The 12,107-nt window shown below is 38.7% G+C and overlaps 1 protein-coding gene and 1 long non-coding RNA gene across 64 annotated transcripts in view, besides 2 other annotated features; one reads left to right on the top strand and one right to left on the bottom strand.

The window, feature by feature from the left end:
* DLG2 (discs large MAGUK scaffold protein 2) overlaps positions 1–12,107 on the bottom strand; it is a 2,173,362-nt gene that overhangs the window by 218,587 nt on the left and 1,942,668 nt on the right. For 8 of the 63 annotated variants that reach the window (NM_001377982.1, NM_001377981.1, NM_001377980.1 and 5 more), the window contains exon 1: positions 8,560–8,690. The exons of the other annotated variants lie outside the window; for them this stretch is intronic. The gene's annotated coding sequence lies outside the window, so the exon portion shown is untranslated. Of the gene's footprint in view, positions 1–8,559; positions 8,691–12,107 lie in introns of those variants that run through there. 63 annotated transcript variants of the gene reach the window in all.
* DLG2-AS2 (DLG2 antisense RNA 2) overlaps positions 1–12,107 on the top strand; it is an 87,698-nt gene that overhangs the window by 35,906 nt on the left and 39,685 nt on the right. The window contains exon 7 of the long non-coding RNA NR_187249.1: positions 10,851–10,927. This is a non-coding gene — a long non-coding RNA (DLG2 antisense RNA 2). The remainder of the gene's footprint in view (positions 1–10,850; positions 10,928–12,107) is intronic.
* Positions 7,934–7,993: an enhancer, noted in NCBI's record as "active region_5354". NCBI's record gives its function as "activates an Ori minimal core promoter by ATAC-STARR-seq in GM12878 lymphoblastoid cells {active_cell/tissue: GM12878}" and the evidence as "EXISTENCE:reporter gene assay evidence [ECO:0000049][PMID:35858748]".
* Positions 9,031–9,140: a silencer, noted in NCBI's record as "silent region_3821". NCBI's record gives its function as "represses an Ori minimal core promoter by ATAC-STARR-seq in GM12878 lymphoblastoid cells {active_cell/tissue: GM12878}" and the evidence as "EXISTENCE:reporter gene assay evidence [ECO:0000049][PMID:35858748]".

Genomic DNA, 12,107 nt, shown 5'->3' on the forward strand with positions numbered 1-12,107 from the left:
TTGGGTTTGCTACTGGCCCTTACAAGTAGAAAGATACATCTTCATATTCACCATGCCAGCACCTAATACAGTGTCTTGAACATTGTGGGAAATGGTGGGTATCATATGTGCTGTCCTGCTACTTTCCAACTGTGTGAACAAGCCTCATTTTCTCCTCTATTTTTATAGTGCTACTGTGAGAAGTAAATGAGATAACATGTATTCAGTGCTTTGCACACAGCAGCAGTAAACAAATGGAGAATTTTGTTATTATTTGTTAAGTAAATGAATTTTAAAAATTGTACATTCTGCCATTGTCTTTTACTCCTTTACCTCTGCCCTATCCAAATCCCTGACCTGTCTTTCCAGACAACCTCAAATATCTCCTTTACCACTTTTTAAAAACTCATACATGGCTGCCTTAAACATCTTAATACTTAGTTACACATTGTTTCTGTGTCTAAATGTTATTCTCCCTAATTGTAGCCGTAAGTTCTTTAAAAATAAGATGAGTATTACATAGAAGTGATGTCAAAATATTTACAACTAGCTGTGCCAGGTATTAATGCTTTAGTTGCTCAATCATGGAGATGTGTGAGAGTCCTAGGGAAGGGATTCAGGGGTTCCAGTGTGAAGCAGCTTGTAGAGGAGCACTCAGCGGGCCCAGGGTAGAAGCTCTTTACTAACAAGAATATATTTCAATATTTTAAGAAGCAGAAGCACTGCCTGCAGCCAGAATATTAGTGCTGGCATCTTTGATACTTCTTTGGCATCCTCTATTTGTCAGGAACTCAACACACTTACTGATAAGGTAAGAAATTCATCCAAGGAACAGTTTCTCTATTTGTACAAGGAAGCCACAAAACAAGACAAAGAAGATTTTATCTGGTTTGTGCTATGGGGAAATGAAGTTATGCCATAGTAATAATGGTACCTTTTAATGCTTATATGACATATGACATATGTGCTTTTAAATAAACATTATCTGTCACCCTTCCACTATTTTTAGTTGCTTCTTTCTCTGCACTGAAGAACTGTCTAATCTGAAGAGGAAGAAGCCAGTGCCCTGGGAAGCATTTCCTACCTGGTCACTGCACCCTTCTCTGACTCAAGCATGTTTTCTGAGTGAAAACAGAAGTCTTGGGCTCCTCAGTGACACAGCTAGGCTGGGAGCACTTACTCATGCCTGGATGCAGGTTTTATGAACAGATTTTATACACCAGAAGCAAGAGGCAAGAAGAAATATACTTTGATTCTGTTTATTGCTATTATTGTCTGTTCTTTGGAAAGAAGCTAGATAGAAAAATGAATATTTAGGAGCATACCCACCAGGTAGGTGGATTGACAGCACTGAGACAAGCTTCATGAGTGAAAAAAGAATGTTTTATCATTGCATTTGGATGCCAGAAAATTGTGAACTGTATGATCACGCTTGTGATAGAAAGTAAATAACAGTTTTGTCACTTCCTCTTCTATGCTGTAAAAGTGGAAAAACAATCCAAAGTGTAGTTAATTAAATTTGGAGTCAGAAATTTTAGCGGAAAACTATTACCAAGCCCATTAAGTACAATCTTAATGAAGGAACTATTCTACTTCCTCAGTGGAAAGAAATGATTATTGCCAAAGGCTGAAGAACTTATAAATTATATAAACTTTGAATTATCCAGAAATCAGAGTGAAGTCTAATTTTTCTTTGAAGCATTGACATTTTGTTAACAAATATTTTACTCTATGTCTCATTCGCAAAGTGATATACACCATACAATTAGCAAACACATGTACAAAAATATATTCTTATTTGTCTTATCATATTTTTTAGTATCACAAACATCATGATATCAAAATCCAAATACACTTGAGTTACTGCATAAGTCATTAATCTTCTCTGAGCAGGTTTAATCAGAAGTAAAAAGGAGAAGAAGAAGATGATGATGATTTTGTTCAAAATACAATAATTCTTGAGCCTGGTAACATATATTTTAAAGTTCACATTGATTGACTCCAAATCTGTATCCACATTGTAAAGAATCAGAACATTTGACTGTGGTTTAGCTTATAATTCAACGGTCATTTTTCAACAACAAATTTTTGTGAGACTGATACTTTAGGTTTTCTGTTCCTTATTCTACTGGGCACATGGCTTCTGGCTGTCTGGTGATTTCTGCAATAGTGCCAACGTAAAGATAGGCAACGAGTTGAACAATTACTTCATTAGCTTTTGTGACTGCAAAGAGCATTTTTCTCTACCTCAAATCCTTTCCTTCTTTCTTCTCCCCTAGCAAACTCCTACTCTTCCTGGAAGCCAATTTAAGGACATGCACCATCATATGCTTGGCCTTCATTCCATTATGTTATGTACTAACTCTAGTAGACATTTGTACATTATGTATTGTACATTTCACAAGTTATAGATGGCTGCTGGATGCTTTTCCAGCATCCTTCCCCACCACCATCCCATCCTAACAGCAACAGCTGCCAAATTTCAGTTAAGGACTCATAATGTCCTGGGGAGACTGTCTTTATCCTACCTAAGCTTTAGAATGGGGCTGGAGATTTGGTCTCATGTTCAGGGGTGGATATAAGCCAGTCTCTTCAAAGTGAATTCTAGGAATCATTGCCAGGATCTCTTTCTAGCTGGATGTGACTATGAAAACAAGTTGTCTAGGAGTCACTGGCAACTGTCCTGGGGCCATGAGGGCAATTAGTCTTGGTATGAAGCTAACACAAAGACAGGCAGTGTGGCAGGACCAAAAGGGATTTCTTAACAATATTGTGAGCTGAGCTACAGGATCAGATCTCTTGAAGCTAGCTTTACTGATGTACTTTTAAGTTATAATCACCACTATGAGTATATATTCCCTTTGTTGAGCAAGTCAGTTTGAGTCATCAGTTTAACTGCTGTATTTTCAGACTGGGTGGGCACTTAATGTAGGCATACTATGTGTTAAGTATTTACTGTGCCAGATACTTTCATATGCATGAGAGCATAGCTTATACTGGGAAATAAACTTATCTCATTTATATCTTCCCAACCGCCTGTGAGACAGGAATTGCTATGTCTGCTTTATAGCAAAGGAAAGCAAGGGTGCAAGGTTTAGTAGTAGGGAATACTTCCAACAATGCATTCTGCCTTTCCACCTAGAAAACTACTTTGTTTTGCAAGCTTGGCACTACTTACAATGGAAAGCAGCCTTATCTGTTACTGTCATGGCTGAGAAGGAATCACACTTGCAACTAAGGGCCCATTTATCCATGTCCCTTGGATTATAAACTCCTCGAGTTCAAAGATTAAAATATTTCATCTTTGTTATCTCATCACCCAGCAGAGCACTTGGCACGTGGTCCATGCTTAATAAATAACTAATAATAGACAAATGAACTAGAAAACGACCGAACAAAGCAAGGTAATCTGGATTATTCTGACTAGAACACATGGCTTTCCCAAGTATTTTGCATTTTTTTTGATATTTGGCTTGACTCTTTCAGAGTTAGATGTTCACAATATACTAACAGCTATTTTCTCCCCTAATTTCCTAAAAGTGTGTTTTCCCTTTTCTTATAATCATATGAATGATTCATGTTTATTAAAAGTTCAAATGATAAATAAAACATAAAGAAGAAACTAAAAATAAAATGGAGATACTACCACTAAAGGCATGCTTTGTCTTGCTTTTGTTTGTTTGTTACCTCTTTGCACCATCCCTACTACCAACTCTTCCAGGCAAAATAAATATGGCACCCATTAGTCTTCACAGAGTCATCAATTTAACTGCTGTATTTTCAGATTGGGTAAACACTTAATGTAGGCATACTATGCGTTAAGTATTTACTGTGCCAGATACTTTCATATGGAGGAGAGCATAGCTAATACTGGGAAATAAAGTTATCTCATTTACATCTTCCCAACTTCCTGAGACAGGAATTGCTATACCTGCTTTATAGCTAAGGAAAGCAAAGTTGCAAGGTTTAGTAGTAGGGAATACTTCCAACAATGCATTCTGTCTTCCCACCTAGAAAACTACTTTGTGAAAATAATACTAAAAGAAATAAAAATAAAAGGAAAAAATCATTCATGTTAATTGCATAATAGCTTTCATTTCATTAAAAAACAAAAACAAAATCCCCCAAACCTCAAATTTCTTAGTAATTACAAAAAGATTTGTTGCTTAGAACTCCTGGCTGTTAATTCTCCTTAGGAGGGTCTTTGTCTCCAATGTGACATAAGATGAAAAGGAACTATTGGGAGAATGATGCACTAAACAGAAGGGGCTGTAGTAATGGCATAAGGCCACACAAAGACATTGATAGCCATCTCTGCTTTGACTTGACTCTTCCTACAGGCGGAACCTCCCCTGTGAGGCAGGGTTCCACTTGGATGCTTCAGGCAGCTTTCTATTAGTCCTCAGCTCTAAGTGTTACAATTGCAATTTAAAACTAGAGATAAGGAAAATACACCTGAAATTAGCTAGGGTCTCTCCAAGCAACTGTTTTCAAGTGCCCTAAAAGACAAATGGCAGACAGTTTTAATCCAGCCAATCCTAAAATTGCTTTCCAAAGTAAGACTATGCCCTCTGAACTAGAAAAGCCAATGTCTTCCCTTGAACCTGAGATCATCATTGTTTTGACCACTTCCTTCTTCAAATGATTTCTTTTGGGTTAATGGAGGAAAAAAGTCAAAAGCAAAAACAGACAAAAGCCCCACAAAACCAACGCAGTGGAATTTTAGTTTACTACTCTGAAATAGAAGTAAATGTTCTGCAACTCAAGGTAGGCTGACTCATATTTTTGGGACCCAGAACAAGAACATAAGCAGAAGCTCCCAGTCCTGGGCTAGCCCTTCTTCTTTTTCATAGTTTCTTCCTGCACTACAAAAGACCTTTCATGCAGATGTGTGGACATCTCAGCTCATGAGTGCAAGCAGTGATTAACAGCATCCATCCCTTGCCCTATTTCCTACCCTCATGCAAATAGAAGGCTCTTGGTTTCCCCTCAGACTCAGGGGCAACGGGTTGGGGAGGCACATCATACACCTCTTGAAAGTGAGCTTAGGAATGTTTGGGGAAAAAATTATTGGGTCCTATTTACCCTGAATGTGATCCAGAAGGGACAGAGAGCAAGATCTAAGTGAGCCCATCCTCTTGGCCTACAGCCTCCTCTAAAGCCACAGATATGGGGAAATTTGCTCAGTTCAAAGGGTGGTACTGATTTAGGGTAACTTTCAGAGCTTGCCTTGAATTTGGTAGATTTACGAACTTTTTATGTTTCATTTTTTATATCAAATTTTATACTTCGGTAAAAATAGGAGAGATGGCTCAGGAAAATGTGATCTTAACTGGCATAGACCAAAAGTGAGAGCAAGGAAATCCCCAACTTCATTTTTAAAATATTCCCTAAACTCTGAGAGGGATTAAACATATGAGGAGAGGAATCAAAGCAGATATGGGGCCAAGATCCCAAAATGGAAGTGTGAAGAGCTGGGCAAACTCTATTGCATACTTCCAACATGTTGGTCATCGTGTGGATCCTGAAATCAGACAGGCGTGGGTTTAAATCCTAGCACTGCTATATGCCAATTTACATTAGTAGTATATTTAAACAAAATTTTCTTTATCAATTCCTCATTTGATAACGGAAAGCAAAATAGGATCTACCTGGTAGGGTAGTGAGGAGGATTAAATGAGAAAATGCTTGTCAAACCATTAGCACAGTGCCTGGGACATCATAAACTATATTTACTAGTATTGTCAGGTATTTTAATACAATGTTAGGGCTGGAATTCTGGCCTAGTTGTTATTTGGCAAATAACGTGGAAAGCTATGATATGTTATTTGGCATCAGTTTATTTCCATGTTCTCTATTTGAAATAAAATGTATTCTTTGAATAATTATGTAAGGATTTTGGATACTATCCTAGGAATTAGTTAAAAGTGAACAGAAAGGTAATAACCCTGTTTTTACTAAGTTTCCAAAATAAAAACAAAAACACAAAATGATCTAGTTATAAGAAGTCTATCTGGTTAATTTAAAAAATTGTATAATCTTCCTGTTTACCATGCCAATTTCTTTCAAAATCAACATCTATCAAAATGAGTTAAAGTATTTGACAAAATACAATTTACAACAATAATAATTACCTTTCATTGGGCATCACTTTGTGCTAAACAGTATACTATTTGCTTTACCTACATCATCAATTTGGTTTAATTCTCCTAATTTTCCCCTCCTCCATTTTACAGATAAAGAGTGTGAGGTGCAGACAATAATACTTGGTTGGGGACACAGAACCCCTGCCCTTTCCATTTACACCTTGCTGAGCCAGGTCTTTGAACAGCACCTTTAAACCTGTCCTTTTTGCCACCTTCCCTACCCTCTCAAAGGAAATTATATGTGTCACGTAGGCAAAATTAACATTTGCCTCTTTCGCTTTTAATCCTGTTTTGAGAGACATGGTTTTGTGTGTATGTGTCCTGTAAGAGGGTTCTTGTCACAGCTTATATTTGCCTTGCTGTAAATTTAATTGGGAATAACTCATACTAAATTTTCTTTTGTTGCTATAAATAGAGTTCATCACGGGTGGGTGGAGAAAATAGAAAAACCACCACCAAATGAGAAGAAATTCAGTTTGTTGAGATTGGTACATAGGTTTATTTTTCCATAAAACCACACTGAATCAAAACCCAGATACTGCTGTAAAATAAACCGTGGAGTGTGGCGTGTAATTTTAAAAAATTTAATGTACAGTGCAGCTCAAAGGTACTTTACAACAAATAAACTACCTTGTTCTTGGCATTAAGGTATATTAACACTTTTAGGACCCTTCAGCTGTGTGACCTAAGCTTTAAAAAATGTCATAGGCTGGCTGGAGCATCAAACACAGATGTTCATTTGTATCTGTGATGATTTGCTGAATCTCCTATCTTAATCATTATTGCTCTATCCAGAAGCTTTGAGCCAAACATAAGACATTTTACAGACCCCTTGTGGGGCAGCCGCTTGTGGATTAGAAACCAAGTCTCAGGTTACACACCCCTAAGTGCCAACCACAATACATCACTCCTCTGCTCTTTAAGCAGAACTTATTCAGAGAAACGGAAAATATGGAAAAGCTATTTATGGACAAAAGAAGCATGAACAAAAAAGTGTTCCTGAAAAAATATATATTCCATTTTCAAATCTGCCAAGTTTTTGGTATAATCAGAAAGTATACTAAGAAAGGAGAAATAACTTTATTGGAAGTGTGGTGGTGCCGATAACCAAAATATTTATGCAAAAAATAAAGCAATGAGTAAGCTAAGTCTTTGGTGAAAAAAATGCATACATTTTTTTCAAAGAGATGCTAAAATGAGTTGCTTTCTTTGAGGTTAAAGAGGACATTTGTCACATCTACAGATTCTACATGTAAAGAGAAATTACAATAGTGTACAGGTAAACACTTTGGACAAACAATTATGGGTTTAGAAGACAGTAGCTACTTGCCAGTGAAATAAAGCAAATGTCAACAAGCTAGACACACTTGAAACATTTGAAAAAAATGTCCTTGCTACTCCTCTCCATATATAATATGCCATATGACACCAGAGTTAAATCTGCTATTGCAAAAAAAAGTACGTCAAGCTGTCGGTTTCCATGAGATTTGGACAGAGGCAAAACAACACAGCAGAGAGTCTAAGAAGGTACAGCTTTCACTTCTCTTTCCTTCTGAAGAGGAAATGACTTCCTATAGTTAGCTGACCAGGAGTTAGCACGCATCCCGCCTGGAGCTAGGACCTGGAGCAAATACCCGGAGCCCACCCAAATGAGACCAAAATGCAGCTTCAGGTAATTGTTAATGGTGATAATGAAACTAGAGAAAACAGCCAGCCACAAGTCATGCAAATACAACAGTCATGCCTTCTGCATTTGTCCGTCCTGCGGGTACGTCGTACAGCTCTTTCCATAACGATCTAGTCTTTTCTTTCACTCCCTCTCCCACATCATCAACAGGCACGCCAAATGCAAATCTCATTGGATTCTGATCCCATCCCGGCAAAACGCAGGACTACCACCATACTGAGTTTCACAATAATCGCCACAATGCCAATTATTCACAGCCCCTCTGTTCTGTTCACACAAAAGATTGCAATTTGAATCTTGCCTTGCACAGGTTCAGCTCAGTTGGAGCTGGTTACCAGGCAAACAGTCTGTTTTAAGATTTGCCGATTGCTGAGGAGAGTGAATTAGTGGGGTGGGGATGGACAAACCACCCTGTACATACCTCCTTTTGGCAGCTAAGAAAAACAATTTCGTGACAAAGAGACTTGTTTTTTTCAAAGCTCACCCAACAAATGAAACTGATAGAATGAAACCTGAGAAACTTTAGCAACCAAAGAAAGCAGCCTTCCAAGGATCAAGGTGAATAATTGATTCATCGGCTTTTCTTTCATCTTTTAAGCTATTTTGCTCGTTAAAAGGAAATTGTGGAATTTGTCAGGAGCCCAAACACTGACACACACTTCTGACAGCAAGTGCCTATTCCAAACTATGGGTACGTTTGCCAAGCTTATTCAACAACAACGATTAGCTGCAAAGCCAGGAACTTACCGAGCACAAAATTATTGGAACAAAGCAGGGAGGAGGCAGGAGGCACCAAAGGCAGCTTCTCCGTCTCCTTGGTGCCAGGTTCTCCTGTCTGCTGTCCGGTTCACACTTGCCTTTATAACTAAGACTCTGACAGAACTCACTAGCGGAACCTGATGAATTATAAAACAGCCCCTCCTAGATTCTCATATTTTACATCACAGGGGGTGACCATGCAGCATTCTCGCTCACTGGGTACATATATTTCCTTGTAACTCATCCTGATAAATATATCAGCCTTAGAAGCAGTGACAGTAATTGGTGTTTGGGATGTACCACTATTAACCAATAAGATGCTTTCCCACCATCAGTAGTGTACCCCCATCCTCTGCTCGTGTTCCCCTACACCTTGTTAAGGTGGATCCACCCAGCTCAGTGAGGAGTAGGCAAAGACAACAAAATGTGGAAAAAGCCCCTGCACCAATGCACATACAGCAAGGCGTATTACTCAGGGTTAAAGCTCTTAATAGTAAGGATCAACTCCTATATTTGCATAGCCTGTCACAGTCTACCAAACACTTTCACTCTCACTGAGTCTCTCAGTGACTAAAGAAGGTATCAGGAGTGCTACAGTACAGATGAGCACCAGAGATCAGAGAGACTAAATGGCTTTATTTGGTATTCACTGAATTTATGGAATGCAAGGAGTCCTAGAGATTAGGGAGTCCTACCCCCTTACTGAGCAGATAAGGAACCCCTGGCAAGAAAGATAAAGTGACTTGCCCAGGTCACACAAAGTGTGATTTGAACTTGAACCCAAACCCAGGTCTTCTGATGGCAAAGTACAGTGCCTTTCTATTCTACCATGCTGCCTCTGGAGCATGAAAGCCCAGCAAACGAGAAGACTGGAAATCATAAACAGTACTGTTGACCAAAAATCATTAATAGGCAGGCTTCATGGGGAGCAGTGCCTGAGCTTTTTGTTCCCTCCCTGACAAGGTCAGTTTAACCTTTTTAGGTTCATCGAATAACAGCACTGGAAAATATGTTTTGGATAATAATAGCTAATATCTATTGAACACATTTTAGGTGCCATGCAGTATTCTAAATGCTTAGCATGTATTGACTCAATCTTCAAAATGTCCCTGTAAGGTAAGTACTATCATGAGCAACATATTGCAGAGAAGAAGCTGAGATTCAGGGAGGTCAACTAATCCACGCAGGATCATATATCTGTTAAGTGGCAGAGCTCTAATGGACTCCACGCAATTTAGTTTCAAAGCCCAGACTCATATATATTATCTGGCCCCAAGTAGTGTTTTACACTAAACTGCTAGAGGCAGATGAACAATGAGAGCAGACTGATTTACTATGGCCTTTAGTAGAAAGGATAAAAAGATAAGTTTTGAAATTCAACAGAATTGTGTTTAACCCTGTCTTTGCCACTAATTTACTAAAACGCAGATTGTTTTATCTGTAAAATGGGTATATTGAAACGTACATCACAAGACTAAATGGAGAATATCAAGAAAATATAGTGCCTAGTTTATAGTATGTACCCCCAAATGGTTCTCATTCCTGCCGTATTTCCTTTGACAAAATGAATTTCTGCCACACCTTCTCCCTCAACTACCTTTTAAGATGTTAATTTTACTGTGCTAAGGAGTCTTCTAACCTGCCAGTCAGTGAAGGGGAAAAAGCCCTAAAGAGACCTAACATCTCTCTACCAGAGATGGGCTTTCTATAAGAGAATGAAGGGCCCAGGGCTCTGTGCTGGGCTGCTGGCCCAGCTCACTAGCTTCTCTCTGCTTTACTTCCACCATTACTCAAATAAATTCATCAGCCCAAGAAAGCAAATTTGCAACATGTCTGCTATCCACTGTGAGACCATCTTGGCTTCTCTCACCCTTTTCAAACAAGCTCCTACCACAAAACCCATAAAAACAATGAACTTTTATATGTAACTATACACTTACAGCCACTAAGTCATGGTGTGCCAAGCAGGAAGACAGGTATCTCTGTCTTGAACGTTCCACTGCTAACTCCTACCGTAAGTCAGTATAACCTAGTATTTGGCCACTGGTGAGGTCTCTATCTGATGAGCTCCTCCCGATCAGAAACTGCTATCTTCAAGGTATGCAGTCAGCATTCCTTGAGAGCCATCAGAAGTAACCCTCTGTGGGACAAGGTGATGCTGTAATGTTGCAGGATATGCAGGTTTAGACATGAGAGATTTTCTTAGCTCCATGTTTCCAGAGAATAACTCTGTGGCCAACTTAATTTGCTCACATACAGTCTGTTCTCTCTTTGTTTAGCTTTTCCTCTGAGCGTCTTACTAGAAGGTCTGGAATACGCATGGATGAGATGCCGTCTTTCCTGACCATACTTAATAGTAGGTACTATAGGAGCAGAGGTAAGAAATATAATTGGAGGTAAGGGGTGGAGTAAGACATGTGCTTCTAAACTGGTAAGAAAAGTCAGATGTAAACAAAGAACAGGTGATAACTACAGCTACAAGATCAATGGTTACTTCCTATATGTCTGAAGTAGGTATCCACTTATTATCTGAAATGGCTTGGTCTCGAAGTCTTCTCAGTGCCTTCCACCTACATTTAGCCCCCAAATCCCCTCAGGAGCCATTTCTTCCCTGTCCATTTTCCCCTGCTACCTGGCTATACCACCATCATTCCATGAAAAATTAATATATATGAGTCATGATAACTCTTATATTGTAGCATTTCTCTGTTCCCCTGTCACGAATAATCATAATTTTATACATATTCTTTCATAATTACCACTTCAACCAACAATTACTCTCAGACATAATGAATTATGTAGAACCTTGAAGCTGTATCAATATTTTGCTTAAATTAGTGATGGTGCTAGTATTTATTGAGCACTTATTATGGGCTGACAATATACAAAACTTTATGCATATCTCTCATTTAAGCTTGACAACAACTTTTTGAAATGGTCTGTACTATTATCTTTACCGTATAGGTGAGGACTCTGGCTAGAAAGGTTAGGTAACTTACTAACAGATGGCACAGTCACAATAATAGCTGAGGTCTAAGACCACAGCACCTGTTCTCTTAAATCTCATATCCACTGCTTCTAAGCACTTGCGGCAACAGGTAACATAAAACATTAGTGTCTGTTTTCACTTCCTCACATCCCATTCTCTCCTTTAATGACTTCAATCAGGCTTCCCACTACAATTGTTCTTATCAAGGTAAATGAAAACATTGTCACTCACAAAATCAATATCCGGTGCACAGTTTTCAGTTTATTCAACCATTCCCAGCATTTGGCAGAATCAATTACAACTTCCCTGAATCGATCATTGTCTCTGTTTGGTTATCAAGACCCCCTTGGTTTTTCTCCTACTTCACTAATCTATCCTTCTACGTCTCCTTTGCTGGGCGCTTCTCTGCTTTCTGATATTTTAAATTTGAGTGTCCCCAAGTTTGTCATTAGACTTCTTTTTTATACTCGCTCCCAAGGCTAGCCATCCGGTATCAAGACTAAAATGCCATCTGTAGATCAAAGGCTACCACATGTAGATCTCCAGT

This window comes from Homo sapiens, chromosome 11, assembly GCF_000001405.40.
Source record: "Homo sapiens chromosome 11, GRCh38.p14 Primary Assembly".
Lineage (NCBI taxonomy): Eukaryota > Metazoa > Chordata > Mammalia > Primates > Hominidae > Homo > Homo sapiens.